This window comes from Homo sapiens, chromosome 8 (genome assembly GCF_000001405.40).
Source record: "Homo sapiens chromosome 8, GRCh38.p14 Primary Assembly".
Classification (NCBI taxonomy): Eukaryota; Metazoa; Chordata; class Mammalia; order Primates; family Hominidae; genus Homo; species Homo sapiens.
This window is the reverse complement of record NC_000008.11, coordinates 37321842-37339466: the sequence shown is the minus strand read 5'-3', so window position 1 is coordinate 37339466 and position 17625 is coordinate 37321842. Positions and strand designations below refer to the sequence as shown.

The following is a 17625-nucleotide window of genomic DNA, read 5'->3' as shown; positions in this document are numbered from 1 at the left end:
TGGAGACCCCTTCAACTCTTCTAATATCTATGAAGTACAGAAGATATTCATATTCTCACTGTATAAATAAGGAAGCTGATTCGGAGGGCAGATCTAAATAAGAGAAACTAAGGCAAGGAGAAATTGTGGGTGTTCAGGGTCACAGAGTTAACTGCAGCCCTGGAACCTGTGAAGTTTCTGTAGATGTCAGCATGCCTGATAGGCATCAAAGAAGCAAAGTCGCTATGGATGAAACAGATTTGGTGAGTATCCCATGAGAACCATGATTCCTGTGCAATGTATTATTAGGAAGCTTGGATGTTTCTGCAGAAGACAGTAGTTCTGATTGACATTTCCTTGGGTTGCAGTGGTGAGATGTGATGGGGTAAGGACAGCTCTTGGCACTGACCACACCCACCCCTGGCAGCCTCCACATCACTTACTAGAAAGTGAGTTGCCAAGTGTCCTGGCTTGAATTAGGAGTCAAGAAGATGCAACCAACCCATGCACAGAAAACTCAGCCGCCAGATCAGCTCTTTCTAGTAATGCAACTAGACAGCCCCTACAAACCTGGGATTTATACTGGTAAATCTTGGTCTCATGAGGGCCCAGCTCAATTTGTGCAGAAATTCCACCAATGGTGGAGAGTTGATTTAGTGTCAGAAAAGGGTGTTTGAAACAAGTGCATTTTCCTTTACGAGTCTTTTAACATCAGGAGAGAAATACAGCTGATTGCAATTGATTTGTGTACGTGGCTGTTTGTGTGAAGTGTCACAGCATGTTTGATGGGAACATAGAAACAAAGAAGGAGAAAGGCCAGAAATTGCTCTTCTGGAAGGTGCGAAGCAGAGAGTACAAGAAAATGCATCTTACAGAATAGGGCTTGGCCCTCCAGGTTACTGTGCATTGACTCTGGACTCAGTCCCTTAATCGCTGTGTGACTCAGTCCCTTAATCGCTGTGTGACTAACAGCAAGTTTCTTGAGGTCTCTAAGCCTTGGTTTCAACATCAGTAAAAGGGGAATAATGAGTGTCTGCCTTATGAGCTGTAGGGAAGATTAAATCAGTGCATCTGAAAGGCTGATTTTCTTCTACTTCAACTTCCTCCCTAAAAGCTACTTCCAGGAAAAGGCCTTATAAAAGTCTATCTTACTTAACATAGCAGTCTAATGATAGTTTGGAGAGTGTCCCATATGGGAGAGCCCACAAAAGAGACTTAAAATGTTCCTTTTCTGTACAGAGTTCTTTATTGTTATTTATTTATTTATTTATTTTGAGACGGAGTTTCACTCCTGTTGCCCAGGCTGGAGTGCAATGGCTCCATCCTGGGTCACTGCAACCTCTGCCTCCTGGGTTCAAGCAATTCTCCTGCCTCAACCTCCCAAGTAGTTGGGATTACAGGCACCCGCCACCACACCCAGCTAACTTTGTATTTTTAGTAGAGATGGGGTTTTGCCATGTTGGTCAGGCTGGTCTTGAACTCCTGACCTCAGGTGACCTGCCCGTCTTGGCCGTTCAGAGTGCTGGGATTACAGGCTTCAGCCACCGTGCGAGTTCTTTATTATTTAAAAGACACTTGCAACCATCTTACCACATTTAACTACCTCAAAGTGTCCCATGAGTTCTATAAGTCAGGTGTTATTTATTCCTCTTCTAAAATGAAACATGGACATAGAAAAGTAAATTTCCAAAATTCATATTTTTGTTCCTTAAACATAGTTTGAGGGATACATAAATGACTTATTAAGAATCACACAGTTAATGAAGTAAGAACCTGGGATGAGATTTTGTGTTGTCTGACTCCAAGTGTAGTGTATTTAATAAGAGGAAAGAACTTTAAGGTACAGAAAAGACTAATTGCAGAATTTCAACATAAGCGAACACATCAAAGAGTGGAGGGTTTTTCCAGGGTCTCTGCTCTAACATTCTGTAGAGACCCAGCTGTCCATGGAAAGGCTCACCCCTGCCAAGATGTATTATACCAACGGCAAGACTTTCAACCTTCTCTTGGTCTTAATCTTTCTGAGTGTGTCTCCCTTCATTGTCTCTTCTAATAAATAAATTAGAAAATATGTCTAGAAAACAGTTATGGAAAATATGTCTAGAAAATAATATTAGAAAATAATAATAGACATACTACAAAATATAATAGAAATGTCTTGAAAATAATATTAGAAAATGACAATGAACATTTTTATCTATTGTGATGTAATAAGTTACCCCAAAACTTAGTGACTTAAAACAAATCACATTTATTATCTCATAGTTTCTGTGAGTCAGGAACCTGGCCATCACTTAGCCGGGCTCTCTGCTTCTGGGTTGGCCGTGAGGCTGTAGTCAAGGTGATGGCTGGGCCTGCAGTCATCTCCAAGCTTAACTGGGGGTGGATTGACTTCCAAGCTCATCAAGAGGTTATTGGCAGGGTTCAGTCCCTGTGGACCTCAGTTTCTCAGTGGCTGCAGGCTGGAGGCTGCCCTCCTTGCTATGTGAGCTTCTCAGTAGGGCAGCTCACCACATGGTGGCTTGCTTCATCAAAGAGAGAGAGAGAGAGAGAGAGCAAGTGAATATGAGACAGAACTCACAGCCTTTTGTAATCTAATCTCTGAAGAGACAACCCATCACTTTTGCTGTATTCTGTTCATTAGAAGTGAGTCACTAGATCCATATCACACTCAAGGGGGAGAGATTTTACAAGGAAGTGCATACCAGGAGGTGAAGATCAGTAGGCGTCCTCTTAGAAGTCTGCCTACCACAGGCCTCCTTTGTAGAGAAGCCTTCAGGGCCAGACCTGATCTCTAATAACTTCATTTGCTGGTTTCTATTTTGAAATTGGTAGTCCTACTTAGAACTTTGTGATAGCAGTTGTGAGGGTGTTATCTCAATAAAGCCTCTAGCCAACTGGCTTTACAATGGAGCAACTGGAATGAAATCTCAGTAATACATCAGTAATGTCCAAGATTGGCTAGAATGAATGAAAATGGGTATGCGTCAGCATTGGGTAAACCTTCAATTCCTTTTTCTTTCCTTAACTCAATTTGCTCTGATGATATACAAAACCATAGGCCAAACTTTTTAAAAACAGCGACAGGGAATTTCTTGTCCCTGTACCACTACCCCCTGCAAAGGTAGGTAGTCTGAATCCAGGAGCATGGGTACTGATGCCAGCTCTTGGGTCTCAGGTGGTGGTGACTGCAGACAGAGAAGACATGCTCTGATCAGCTTGGCCCAGCAGATATTCCCATGGGGACAAGTCCAGCGTGCCTTGAAATAAGAGCCTGTTGCAGGCCAGGAGTGTGGGGTCCCACACACCCTGATGCACACCATCAATTTGGAAAGTCCTTTTTATTTTCATTCTTTTAAATGCTTCTGTTGGCTGTTTGTTTTATGAGGAGTTAGTTTCATTAGTGCTACTGAGTCCATGTGTTCACCCACCACACTCGAGCCTTGCATTGATATCACTCTTTCCCCTCAATGTACCAGGCCCTGCAGAGAACACGTGAAGTCCTCACGGCCTGTCCTGACTGGCATGGGACTAGCAAGTTCGTGAAGACTTCCCTGTGTCCGTGTCTCTCTCTTATTTAAAAGCCACGATGTCTCCCTGTGTGTCTGCAGGAGATGCCAAGGTCTTCACAGTCCGGCCCTAGTCTGCCTCTCTGAGACTCTCCAGCTGCCTGGCTGGACCTTCTGTCTACACAACAGCTAGAATCCCATGCCATCTGAAGGTGTTGAAACAAATCATGCACTTCCCAGGCTTTGTTGCTTTGTTCACACTTTCCCTTTACTTTGGAACAAATGTCCTCCCTCCCTGATGCCCTCTGCACATCTCTGCCTAGCCATCACTGGTGCATCTGCCAAGGCCCAGCTCAAATGTCCACACTCCTTTGGAGCCTCCTGACCTCCTCCTCACTTTAGGTGGAACACACGTGTCTATAGCAGCTGTCATGGGTGCTGCACCCGAGTCCCTGTGGCATTTACAATGTTTGCACTGGCAGTGTGACTTCTAACGGCCAGCACCAGCTACTCTACCTGAAGGCTTTCTCTGTCTGCTCACTCTGCCCTTGCATGGGACAGGTTGAAAATGTTGTGGGTTACCTCCCTAGGAGACCCCTCTACCAATGACTGTTGGTTCCCCACCCCTGGACAGGATATTTCTGAGGCAAGATAGCCCAGAGAGGTCTCCCGTGGAGCTGAGCTCCCCCATCTGGTGTAGCAACTGGTGACAATGAACCCTGCCTGGCTTCCTTCCCTCCCCTGGGTCACTTTGTCACTCCGCTATCAGTGGTTTTTCAGTTTACTTCGAATGATCTATTTGTACCTGAAGCTTTGCTTTGGAGTCTGTTTCTGGGGAACACACACTGAAAACAGAGCCCCTCCTCCGTGCTTACGCTCACTGTACACATTTATTACAGCCCTTACATTGCACTTGTGGGTATCCAGCATCGGGCTCCTGCACAGTGACCTCCTTGAGGGCAGAAACTCTGCCTCTCCAAGGCCTGGTGCAGTGCTGGGCATACATCCGGTGCCCATACTTTTGTTGAGTTGATTCTCTTGTGCTCATTTCCCTAATTAAAGGTTTTTTTTTTTTTTTTGTAAGTTTTCATGGGGGCTGGTTAGAGCTTAGGACCTCATCTTGCACTAAAGAATGAGGTGATCCAACCGTCTTGGCAACCACTGCTCTACTGCTGTCATGGCCCTTTGGATGAGAAGTTTGCCCAGAGCCTTAGGTAGACAGGTGATGACAGTGGCTGCCCTGTCCTGGCCACCCTTTAAGAGACTGTGAGGTTGCGTCGGTCCTGACTTGGTATAGCATCTGATCTTATCTGCTTTATCCTGATTCTATTGTTACAAATGGCAAATTGGGAGGAAAATAAACGAGCTATTGAGAATAAAATCTCCTCCTGCCAAGTGGTAATGCCCCAGAAAGAGGGAGGGCGTATCTCCATGTCATTATGGGGATAAATTAGATGTCTGCTGAACTACTCCCACACATGCTCACTGGTCAGATTTGGGACTTCAGAGCAGAATTGTCACCCTGTCTGGGAGAAAAGCAGTTAGCAAGGAAAGGGGTGGAGACTGGCATTTTGGAAGGGCAGTTAAGTTCTCAATAAAAAGTCTTTCCCACAGCATTATTCTGTGAAGACGCTGTTCATTTTTTTTGGGGGGGTTTATAATTACTTTACTTTTTAAAAACTTTTTAAAAAGTTTTTTTGAGATGGAGTTTCACTCTTGTTGCCCAGGCTGGAGTGCAATGGTGTGATCTCGGCTCATTGCAACCTCCGCCTTCTGGGTTCAAGTGATTCTCCTGCCTCAGCCTCCCAAGTAGCTGGGATTACAGGTGCCCGCCACCACGCCCAGTTAATTTTTTGTATTTTTAGTAGAGACGGGGTTTCTCCATGTTGGCCAGGCTGGTCTGGAGCTCCTGACCTCAAGTGATCAGCCTGTCTCGGCATCCCAAAGTGTTGGGATTACAGGCGTGAGCCATCACACCCGTTCTATAATTACTTTATTTCAGGGGGAAAGAGGAAGACACCAGGAAGTTTTTCACCAGCCAGAGTATCGCACTCCTACCAAGTGCATCTCTGCGAAGACAAAACCCCATAATGAAAGAAACATTCTGAGGATGTTTGCTGAGCTCCATAATTGAGAGAAAGGTCTGTGACTTGCCAGAGGTTGGGAGGAGGCAGGGTGCCCTGGCAGCTGGGCTGCACGGTCTGGTTGGCCCCCCAGACTGGTCTGGTCAGTGCCGCACTTGCCTTTGGGGATTGAGAATGTTTCCTATGGGGCAGGAGGATGAGAACAAGGCCTCCTCTTAGCAAGGCTGATGAAGCTCCTCCTTTTTCTCCTGAGTCTCTGTGGGGTTCACATTTGTGGGCACTTCCCCTGGGAGAAGCCCAACTGAATCATCCACTGAAAATAGGTTTATGCTGCACGGAAGGATCTTTTTCAATAGCAGGTCCTTAATGAATTGTTACAACCTTGGGCACAATAAAATGAAGACCAATGTGGAGTGTATGGAGCGTGCGGAGTTGCCAATAGTCTTTTTGGGAGGACTATACTTTGTTCTGGGATTAATCTTTCTTACTTTGCTTTTTAAAATTAAGATGTCTTTCTTTAAGAAGTATAAATATATATGGTAGCTGTTTTTTTTTTAAATGTTTTTACTTGGCCAAATAAAAAAGTTGGCAACACTATCATTTTCAACACCCTCTTAAAAAAATTTTTTAAATAGATACGTGATATAAAAAAGATAGGGAACTGATTTATAGGAAGAGTTTAAGTCCCCACGAAGCCCTCACCCAATCCTGACTTTGGACTTTCTGTGAAGAAGTACACTTTGCCCTCCATGGGCCTGGCTTTCCTTAACTGTGAGATCAAGGAAAAGACTGGGCTGTCTAGTTCCATGCAGATCAGTTGAGAGAAGTCACTGGAAGAAGAAAATTTTATGGGAATTATGGAAGGTTGGGAAGAAATGGTCTTTGCAGATGAGATTAAGTTAAGGATGTTGAGATGGAAAGATGGTCTTGGATTATCCAGCCAGGCCCTAAATGAAATCATATGTATCCTTACAAAAGGGAGGTGGAGGGAGCTTTTCACACAGAGGAAGTGCAATGTGAAGACAGAGCATGAGATGTGAATGTGAAGATACCGGCCTTGAACACTGGAGGGATGAGGCCACAAGCCAAGGAATGTAGGGGCTACCAGACTCCCCCGGCACCTCTGTAGAGAGCACAGTCCCACTGACACCTTGATTTCATCCCAGCAATGCTGATTTTGGCCTTCTGACCTCCAGAACTGTGAGAGAATAAGTCTGTGGTTTTAAGACACCCAGTTGGTGGCCATCTGTTACAGCAGCCACAGGGAACTAACGCAGGAATACAGACTGCAGGCTCCTTCAGAGCAGGATATAATTATGTCTCCCCAGCAGTGCCTTGTCCTTAGTGTGGAGCCGCCCGTAGCTGCAGATGAAATGTATTAGCACATCTCCACTTACTTAAGGTAAATCTTTTGAGTCTTCTTTTCTGGGGCCTGCAGATATTTCCTGTTAACTAGGATCTTAGGGGACACCCAACCATGGTTCTTTCTCAACATCATCTCTGGAAGCGTCAAGTGTCTCCTTGACATCACACACCAAAGGATGCACTTTCTAAGGTATTGTTTAGGACTTAGGAGAGGCATAATTTTTAGCAATGAGCTGAGAGATGGGGGTCCTTGCCACATCCTCCTTCCCACATTGCTATGACAGCTTTGTGTTTTTTTTTTGGTCCCAATTCAGTTCTGAGTAGGACCCGGTTTGCTTTCAAACCTTATAAATGGCTACTAAAGATTGAATTGTGTACCCCGAATTCAAATGTTGAAGTTCTAACTGCCAGCACCTCAGAATGTGACCTTATTTGGAAATAGTGTCCTTGAAGCTATAATTAGCTAAGATGAAGTCATTAGGGTTGGCCCTGACCTAGTTTGACCAGTGTCCTTATGAAAACGCAGAAGTTGGACAAAGACACACCCACAGGGAAAGCACCATGAGAAGATGACGGCAGAGATCTGGGCGACGCGTCTACAAGCCAAGCGACACCAAAGGTGGCCAGCAGCCCATGTGAAGCTGGAGGAGAGGCCTCGAATAAATGCTCCCTTACAGCGTTCAGGGGGAACTGACCCTGTCCACACCTTGACCTTGAACTTCTGGGCTCCAGAACTGTGAGACAGCATGTTCTGTTGTTGAAGGTACCTGGTCTGGGGTGCGTGGTGCTTTGCAGCCAAAGTGAATGAATCTGGTGACACTGACCTGTGTACTGTATGTCTTGTCTGCAGCTTGCTGGTAAATGAGGGAAAAAGCAGGGAATCAGGGGTGGCAGAAGGGTAGGGGGAGAAGGGAGTAGGACCAGAGCAGCTTTAGAAGTGCGGCCTTGAGTCTGAGCAGGAATCCTTCTATGTCCAGCTTTGTGTCTGCTGCCTGTGATAAGAGGGCCGGCAGAGTACCTACCCAAGCAACCTCCCTGTCCTGATCCCTCCCGGGGGACCCAACCTTTTCCTCTAGATAGGGTCAGCTAAAGAAAGTAACATTGCAATCACACCTTCCAAGCTGCCCTTCTTTCCCTCCTCCTTCAGTCTCCCCCGCACCCCCATTCCCCCTTGTTTCTAAGTGCCCAGCCTTCTCCTAAGAGAGGGGACCATCTGGTTAGTCCTTGTTTACTGCACACCCTGCCAGTTTGAGCTTATTAATCATATTTACCCAAGTATCTTAATTACTCCCTGTCTAGCAACTTGCTTTGCACTCAGCTGTTGACCCCTCTTTTTTTTATTCCTTTCTATCATTAATCATAGGAGCAGCGTGGCTAGAGGAATTCCTGCAGCTTAGATTTCGCTGGCACTGTTACCACTCCCAGAGAGGAGCGGCTGGAGTTCACGGCTGGTTCCTGACAAACTTCCTAATTAATCTGCTAAAGATCAGAGGAGGACTAATAGGAGCTGAAGACTGTGTGCGAGACCACCCCTCCGCCCTCTCCCTTTGTGTGTGCACGTGTGTGTGTGTGTGTGTGTGAGCGCGTGCGCGCATGTGGTGCTGAGCTTGGCGGGAGAGAGATGGCCTCACCAGCGACAAAGCATTCCTGCTGCTGTTGCTGCCACCTACCTTCCCTGCTTTGGGAGGATACATTTTCTCCTCTTGCTTAGAAGTTTCAGGGAGTCACCCAAGCCTTCTTCTCCCAGATACAACGGTGGAATAAAATATCTTCCAGCCAACATATTTTTTGGAGACGGAATCTCACTCTGTCACCTGGTTGAAGTGCAGCAGCGCGATCATGGCTCACTGCAACCTCTGCCTCCCGGTTTCAAGTGATTCTCCTGCCTCCGCCTCCCGAGTAGCTGGGATTACAGGCATGTGCCACCCACCACGCCTGGGTAATTTTTGTATTTTTACTAGAGACAGGGTTTCACTATGTGGGCTGGGCTGGTCTCAAACTCCTGACCTCTGGTGATCTGCCCACTTCGGCCTCTCAAAGTGCTGGGATTACAGGCATGAGCCCCCGCACCCGGTTGCAACCAACTTTTTTGTGGAATATAGGATCTTGATGTTTGGATGCCTGAAGGCAGAAGCTGTTGCACATGGAATGGATTAAAGTTTTCCCCTCTGCAACCAAAAATCCTTGGGGTCCCAGGAGCAAAAGATGCTCCATGGCACAGGACAATTCAAGAAGGCCCGAGGTGATATTGAAGACTGCAGAGACATCCAGCTCAGTTGTGTCTCCGGAGGTGTCCAGACTTTGCAGACAGACGTTGCACATAAAGAGCTGAAAAACTGAGGAAGCTGAGCTGGAGAAGGAAGTCACTTCTACTCAGACTTGACCTGCGTCTGATGCTATGGGGCCTCTTAGGGTTACCTCATGCTTCATGCACCCCTTTCTCTGTTCTTCAGCAGAAGGCAGGGTGTAGGGAAGCGGGACTGTGCCTCCTTTCTCCCTGCCAGGCCTGACTCTCCAGGCCAAGAGACACCATTAAGGAGTATAATTTGTTGATCCAGGCTCTCCTTGCGTTTCAGTGCAGAGTGGCATCGTTTTCTTTATGACCTCGTAAAGTCACAGCCGAGAGGCCGATTTGGAAAACAAACTGCCTCAGGTTGACAGATAATTAGATACAGGGGACATATTATATGCCTTTGCATATAAATGTGCTCCGAGGCGTGTTGGTTCATCTGAAGTTGAGGTTAAAGGCGCGCCAGGTATTCCTGACACATCAGGATATATATTTTCATACAGTCTCAGGTGCTGTGTTGGTTTTATAGGCCTTTCATCCTGGTGCTGACGGATGGGGTGTGATTGTGACCCAACTTAGAAGAAAGGGACTTCCCTTGCCCAGGGGCCTCCTGGCGTTTTTGTTTTGTGTTCTCCCTCTCCACCCCCACTTTCTCTTCTTCCTTGGGAAGGGAACTGTTCTTTGGACCTAGGATTCTGCCGTGAGTGACTAATGGCCTGAGTAGGAGGGACCGGGACTCATTTTTCTTTTCTGGACTCTAATAGGCCCAATTAATTCAGCTACAACATGGGCCCTTACAAGCCTGGGACAAGCCTGGGTGGAATTCTATATTGAGGGTAAGAAAAGGGATGGAAGTAGATGTTTTCCAGAAGGTTCTGTGGACTCTGGGGGTGACCTGTGGACAGCTGCTGCTGCCCACTACCTGGCAGTTTGGCTATGTGATACATGTCAGCCTTACAAGGAGATCCCCCTTACCCTGGAATCTACTTTGGGGGAGCAGAACTTGAGCCTCAGGCAAATCAGAGACGAGGGGGAAACTTTGCTTTTTCCTCCAGTGGCAGGGAGCTCTGGGCTGGGGAAATGTCTTTTTGAACACAAAGTTCCAGTTGCATTCATCCACAGGAAAATGTAAAGAGCTTAATTTAATGCCCTCTGGGAGTCATTTCGATTTAAAAGTGGTATTATAGCTTGTGGCTAGAAGAATGGGCTTAACGGTTAGTCACCTTCTGTTTGGGCATGTCATTTAATCTCTTTGAGGCTGTTTCTTCATCTTAAAATATGAGTGAGAAGGTAGTACCCACCTTACAATGTGGACAAGATTAATTTAGGGAAAACACGTAGCACAGGGCTTCACCCATGGTAAGTATTTCATAAACGGTAACTATTTTTAACAATGACAATTCACAGAGTTAATCCTAATAAAAAATGATTACAGAAGAGGACGCCTCCACCCACAGGAAGGAGCCAGCACGGTGGGGAGCTGTTTCACCAGGGGAGTGTTCTCAGCAGCTGCCACACGTGGAGTTGTGGAGGTAGCAAGCAGAGTTGGGGGAGGAGGGGGAGCCCTGGTTCCTGCTCTTCCATGATCAGTGTGCAGCCTTGAGCATGGCACTCCCTCTCTTCCCAGCTTAGTGTCCTCATCCGTAAAATGAGGGGCTCTCTGAGAGTCTGCCAGGGCCGCTGTCTGATCTGTGACAGCGTGGCATGTGGTGTGGTATGTAATGCACGTTCCTGCCTGCAGGGAGGCCCTCTCCCTTCCCCCACCAGGCTTCTGGGCAGCACTTGCTGTCATCCTTGCTTCTGGAACAGGACTGTGCTGTTTTCCAGGCCAAATTGGAGGGCTGAGGGGGTCTATTAAGAAGACTCTGGGGAGATGGTGGAACAATTCTGTGCTTGAAATTACCTTCCTCTTTAAATCTTGCCATGGCCCTATTAGAAAAGCTAAGGGGGCAGGAGGAGAGGAGCGGGCAGGGAGAGGAGAGAGAGAGAGAAGAAGGAAGAAGGAAAGGGAAAGGTAAGAAACCCCATAGCCCGACCCTCAGCCCTGTTGAAGGAGATTATATAAATAGAGTCGCTGTCACTTTGATGAATTAAATCCTCCGTTAATTAGGACGCATCCATTTAAGGGTTGTCCAGCCAGATAGTCCTTTTCCCTTCCCAGCAAGTCATAGCTCAGGGAGGAGGCATGAGAGGGATCGTTTTCTGTTTCTGGCTTGATTGCTGGTTTCTTTCTTACTAGGCTTCATTAATTATCCTGGAATGTGGTCACCCAGTTTTCTTCAACATGGGCCATTCTCCTTTTAGCAGGATCTTGGCAGTGGACTGCCACGGGAGCTCTGGGGAAAAAGGACCAGTTGGACTCCAGTACCTCCTGAGAGACCACCACCCTCCATGCCTCCAGCTCATGCCCAGCTCTGAGTCAGACGGACTCTTCCTGTTGTACTGCGAGGTTCTGCAAACCTTGAAGGGCAAACACAGTGAGGGTCTCTGACTTGCTGTGTGGACAGCCCACTCTCTGACAGCCCAGATCATCTGAAGCTATCCCTGGGCTGGGAGCTGGAAGCCATTCTTGTGAACCACTCCTTATACCTTGAGCGAAGCCTCTTTGGGTCCCAGAAGTCTGAAGCTCCAGCTGCCTGGCAAGACTGAGTCTAGATGATTTCTTGGGTACCAGTAGTTTGGCATTTAAAAATACTGGATTAACTGCAGTGTAAACTTAGATTGCATTTCAGATTGTAAACAATAACCCCCGTGCTTCATGTGATGTTAAATCAGAAATGAGCTATTAGCCAAGCTAGTCCTCTTATGAATGAGCCCCTAACCCTGATCCAGGGATCGTTGAATGAAAATCATCAAAATGATTTATCTTCACTTTACCTATTGTCTCACAAGAATCTCATCACTCAGGGAAAAGGAGGGTGTTCTTCAGGGAACGGAGGGCATGAGGAAGGGGGATTTCCTTATATCTCAACTTTCAGAGGGAGCTGAGTTGTAAACAGATGGAACAAGGTGTGTACGAGAAGCCTCTTAGATTTAGTCTTTCATATCAAGGCTCTTGCTGAAAATCCTGGCACAGCTGTGAAATGAGGGGAGCTCTGACACACAGAGACACGCTCCTTGCCTCACCAACCTTCCCATACACAGTCATGCGCACAGAGAGCAGGTACCAATACTGAAAATGCCCTTCCGGAGTTTCCTCAGCTTAAACCCTTGACAGCATTAAGTGAGGAAGGAGTTTCCTTGACCTGGGGAAGAAGAACCAACTCATAAACATGGAACTGTGCCCACTGCCTTTTCCTTTGCTCTGTGGATTGGCTGTGGTTCTGCCCTGGCACTCGGATGTCAAGTTGCTCTGGCTGTTTGGGAGGAAGCCCAGCCTGGGTCAGGTGGTCATAAGCCAGAGGCCCTGTCCTGTCCCCAGGGTTGGCCTCCCTCTGGGGTCCAGCATGGCCCCAGTGCTGAGGCTCCCACTGCTGGGGAATGTGCCCTCTCCTCTCTTTGTTTCCATACCAAGGGGATCTGCAGGGTAGAGGGCAAATTATTCTTAGCAGATTGGGGCTATGGGTAAACCAGAAGGGATGAGGGAGAGAGGAGAGAGGAGAGGAAAGGGAAGGAGAGGGGAGGGCAGGGGATAGGTAGAGGAGAGAGACAGCAAGAAAAAATAGAAAAAAAAAAAAAGGAAATAAAGGTTGCATATACAAAGGGAGATTAACAAGGAGTAGAAGAAGGGAGGCAGAAGAGGGAGAAACAGAGAAGAGGAACAAAGAAGACATTTCCAAAAAAGACGTGAGCACACCAGGCAGGAGGGAGAAAAGGAACAAGGAGAAAGGAAGGAAGTGAGACAAGCTGGGGAGAGAAGAGGCAAAGGCAGCCAGGAGCAGGCATAGGGGAGAGAGGAGTGGGAAGCCCCAGGGGGTACAAGGAAAAAAATGAGGGAAGCCAGTGGGAGGAAGGTGAGGAAGAGGAGAGGGAACAGGCACTGGGTGGGGAAGAGGCGAGCAGGAGAAAGCCTGTGCTGTGTGGATTATTGTGTGTTTGTCATCTGGAATGGTATAAGCTGTAGGTACAGCAGCTCCCGCCCATGATTTATGGTCCCTGTCAGGCAGGGACCGCGCTTTGTCTGCTGTAGCGTGGACGATGAATGCTCCGCTGTCATCCCAGCCTGGCCGGCCTTTCTCTCTCTCTGCTCCCAACGCTGGCTCCCCATTTCACGCCAGTGAACATAAGCAATCTTTTGTAAACCTGACAGTCACACTTGCTTCTTTGGAAACATAAAGCAGAAATGTATGACTCGGCTTTCATTACCCAATTTCCTACGCTATATAAAAACACTCAGGAAAGACATGTAAGTGGTCACGAAACCTGGGAAATTGGAAGTGTCCTGGAGGAAAAAAAAAGGAAGAGTGGGGAGAAGGGGGCTGTAGGGTGGGAGGGAGCCGGTGAGGAGAGGAGACGATGTGTCTAACTCCACCACATCCTTCCCAGAAAACGCCGGCTGATAAACGGGCCATGCAGACACATAATTATATTACATATCTGAATAATAGACATTTCCTGCCTGAAGTGTTGCTTTTTTTCCTCCTTCTCCTTTTAACCCAGAGTGCAGTAATGAAACAGTCTTAAGATCAAAGCTGCCTGATAATGTGGCTTTGTTTTTTCTACCTTTTTCTGCTTTACATTTTTTTCTTCCCCACTAGCCATTTGGCAGACTCCAGGAAGTGAAAAGTGTAACTTATTTTTAAAGAGCAATTAGGGTGTAGATCTTGGAGATTTCTCAGCCAGGAGGGTGAGATCGGCAGTGGAGAATCTGCATCCGTTTTGACAGCCAGGCCAGGGTGGGACAGGTGGGAGGCCCTTGGCAGGTGGGGGATGCTGGGTGGCTCTGGAATCTGCTGAGACCGGCCTAGAAGCCACTGGACATTTTCCGAGGCTTTTCTTTAGGGATGGATAACTTCTCTTCCAGCCTCCCGTTATATTCAGCTATAATCTCACGCCTAGCAGAGGGGAGAGGTGCTCAGGGTTTGGAGCCTAGGTGCTTTCATTATGTTGGGTCCTGGCCTTGATGGCCTGGGCAGTCAGAGATCCTGGGGAGGTTACTTCAGCAACACTGCAGGCCAATGGGATTCCTGGCTTTGTGGATCTGGAAGTGGAGAGCTATTTGCTGATTATTTTAATGATCTTTCCCTCCACATTCTTTGAGATCAAAATCTTTGAGCGGCATTTAGGGAGTTGCTTTAGTTTATCTAGGTGGTTGCTTTTGAACAGAGGAGAACCTTGCAGCAGCCCCTGCGGAAGAGTCCACTGAGCTACATTGCAGTGGCAATGCCAGTGCACATCCTGGGCCTGGGCACTGACGTGGAGATGGAGGAGTCCTTCTGCTTCCCTGAACCTCAGCTTTTCTAGAAAGACTGACATTCCATCCACCTATCTACACATCAAACACACACATGCACAAGTGCACACACACACAAGCATATGCAGAAATATTAGAACAGTCTTTCAAGGACTGGAACATTAAAATTCAAAAGCGGTTTTGAATACTTACTATATGTCCAACACTATACAGTCATCCCTTGGTATCCGTGGAGGATGTGTTCCAGAACCTCCTACATATACCAAAATCCATGGATGTTCAAGATCCTTATATAAAATGGCATAGTATTTGCATGTAACCTATACACATCCTCCTGCATACTGTAAATTACCTCTAGATTACTTATAACTAATACGATGTCCATGCTATGTAGATAGTTATTATACTGTGTTGTTTAGAGAATAACGACAAGAAAAAAGTCTGTTCACGTTCAGTACAGGTGCAGCCATTCATTTTTTTGAATATTTAAAATCTGTGGTTGGTTGAATCCATGGATGCAATGAGGAACCCATGAATATGATACCCATGGATAAGAAGAGCCAACTCTACTAGGTTTTATAACATGCGTGTCCTCAAAATCATTTTTGCTTATAATTGGAAAGTTTCCAATATACTCACAAAGAGGTATAGAGCTTGGACAGAAAGAGTGGCTCTAGACATGCATGTGACATGAGGAAGGCTTCCTTCTCGTCCTTCTGTCTCACCCCATCCATGCCTAAAATTTATTTATGATGGTTTCCTTGACCTCGTCCATAGAAACCTCTTGGCCTCCACACCCATGCTGAATGGTCTGTCCCCTCTGGATGTGTGGAGCTTACTGTCTGCTCCTCCCCTGGGGTGACTAATCAGATGCTGTCCCGTGCCAGCTCTCACATGGCTCTCAAGTCTTCATGTGTATTTCAAGGGGCAGAGATTTTAATCATGTCTTATTCTTCTGTGTATCCCCTGCTGCATTCAATGGGGCAGTGGGGTTCTATACAACACACTCTACACCCTGGGAAAACATACATCCCAAGATTATTTATATTCCCTAATTTACCCCCACAAAGGAAGGTGTGTTTGTGTAGATTACTGACTTTTCCCCTAACAACATTTCCATAAGGAGGTTAGTATAATTTTAAAACATTCACAATTTAAAGTATCTTTTTAACTAATTTGATGGCCATTTATTTTTCACAAAGAAATAGCTTTTGTTCTTTCAAAAGAATTGCAGTGCACATAGTGAGTGTTAAGAATGGGAACCCAGCATAGAGATTTAAGTGCTGGGGGTCACTAGACACACACTGGCTCAACCAACAACCTCTTGATATCCATGATTCTCATTTGGACCTCGTTTGGAAAAGATTGTTTCCATTTTTTTTTTCTGGTTTGATTGTTTCCTTTTTTTTTTTCTCACAAATAGAGGAAATCACTAAGGAAAAATCTACCAGGCATTCATGTAGCTGGTGCCAAAAATCTGTGGATTATTTGAAAGCTAAGTGCATCCTTCATGTCCCTGAACCCTTGCTCACTTCTAACCCTCACCGGGGGTCTTCAGTCTTTCCTTCCTATAATCTAAAAAGGCACTAGTGAAAACACATAGACTTTGCCTACAGACCTGGTTTCAAGTCCTGTTTCTACCACTTTACTAAATATGTTGTCTGTGATGGTTTGGATGTTTGTCACTTCCAAACCTCGTGTTGAAATATTATCCCCACTGTTGGAGGTGAAGCCTAATGGGAGGCGTTTTTGTCATGGGGGTGGACCCATCATGAATAGATTCATGCTCTTCCTGGAAGGGTGGGGAGTGAGTTCTCACTCTATAAGTTCCTGTGAGAGCTGGTAGTTAAAAAGAGCCTGGTACCTCCCCGCTCTCTTTCTGGCCTCCTCTCTTACAATGTAATCTCTGCACATGCCAACTCCCTCTGCCTTCCACCATGAGTGCAAGCAACCTGGGGCCCTCACTAGAACCAGATGCTGGCACTATGCTTTGAGTACAGCCTGCAGAACCACGAACCAGATAAATCTCTTTTCTTTATAAATTACCCAGCCTCTGGTCCTCCTTTATAGCAACACAAATGGACTAAGACATCATCTAAGACAAATAACTACCTTGAAGCTCAGTTTCCTCATCTGCAAAATGGGCAATGTAATAACCCCCCTGGAGGGGTTGTTGTGAGGATTACATGTACAATAACTACTACATAGTAGCCACGTAATCAGTGTCAATTCCTTTTCTTTCTTCTTATTCACTACAAACTTATCCTTCCATTTCATGCCATTCAAGATGCAGAGTTTCAGAAACCCCAGTGCTGGCAATACTTAAGGAGGAAATCAACAGGCAGCTCACTGAGCACTTCTAACCACAATAGATAGACTCTGATACAGACTTGGATTTCTTTGGGGCTTTGGAGGAGTCCTTTCTCTGTTATTGTTAGGCATGTTCATTGGACAAACAAAGTAAGCACAATGAGATGAATTTAATACCTGTCAGGCCTCAGAACAAATGTCATTGATCTTGCTGATACTATATAAAAAGCAGGAAAGTGGATCTGGTTTGGTCCTATGGCAATTTACAGGCCTTTGGCCTCCCTAGTTAATTTTCACTAGGACAGACATTATTTTGCCTGCTGGGAGGAGAAGTAGCTACTCACAAAAGCTGCCTGTGCTGTGCCATTAGGAAAGGGACTCAGAAGGAGGGCATCTTACATGTGCAAAAACTGGAGGAGTAACAAGCAAAGAGGGAGGAGGTGGGGATATAGTTGAACTTCATGTTAGCAGAGTTCAATACATGGAAACCATAGGTCCTCTCTTGTCTCTAACTGCCCCCGCCATATAGATAAAATTAAGGGGAGTTATTCATAGGGCAGAAGGAGGGTTTCCTCCCTTTTGATGACCCCTAGAAATATCCTGCTTCCCAAATAGGTATACTGAATAACTTACACTCGACTCAAGCTGTATTAACAACTTATAAGAGAAGTTGGGAAGGCAAAAAGATGCTCTTGGAATGTGTTGTTTTATGGCTATAGAATGATGAATTTTACT

The 17625-nt window shown here is 46.2% G+C and overlaps 1 long non-coding RNA gene across 2 annotated transcripts, besides 1 other annotated feature; it reads left to right on the top strand.

Annotated features, from left to right (window-relative positions):
* Positions 7196-8395: an enhancer, noted in NCBI's record as "CDK7 strongly-dependent group 2 enhancer chr8:37188590-37189789 (GRCh37/hg19 assembly coordinates)". NCBI's record gives its function as "activates an origin of replication core promoter dependent on BRD2, BRD4, P300/CBP, MED14 and CDK7 cofactors, with strong dependence on CDK7, by STARR-seq in HCT116 cells {active_cell/tissue: HCT116}" and the evidence as "EXISTENCE:reporter gene assay evidence [ECO:0000049][PMID:35650434]".
* LOC100507403 (uncharacterized) lies at positions 7536-12103 on the top strand. 2 transcript variants are annotated; one of them, NR_188015.1, is made up of 4 exons: positions 7536-7700; positions 8301-9693; positions 10635-10759; positions 11532-12103. It is a non-coding gene; the product is annotated as an uncharacterized LOC100507403 (long non-coding RNA). The 2 variants fall into 2 exon arrangements; NR_188014.1 differs by having other exon boundaries at positions 7536-7794.
* The last annotated feature ends 5522 nt before the right edge of the window (positions 12104-17625 follow it).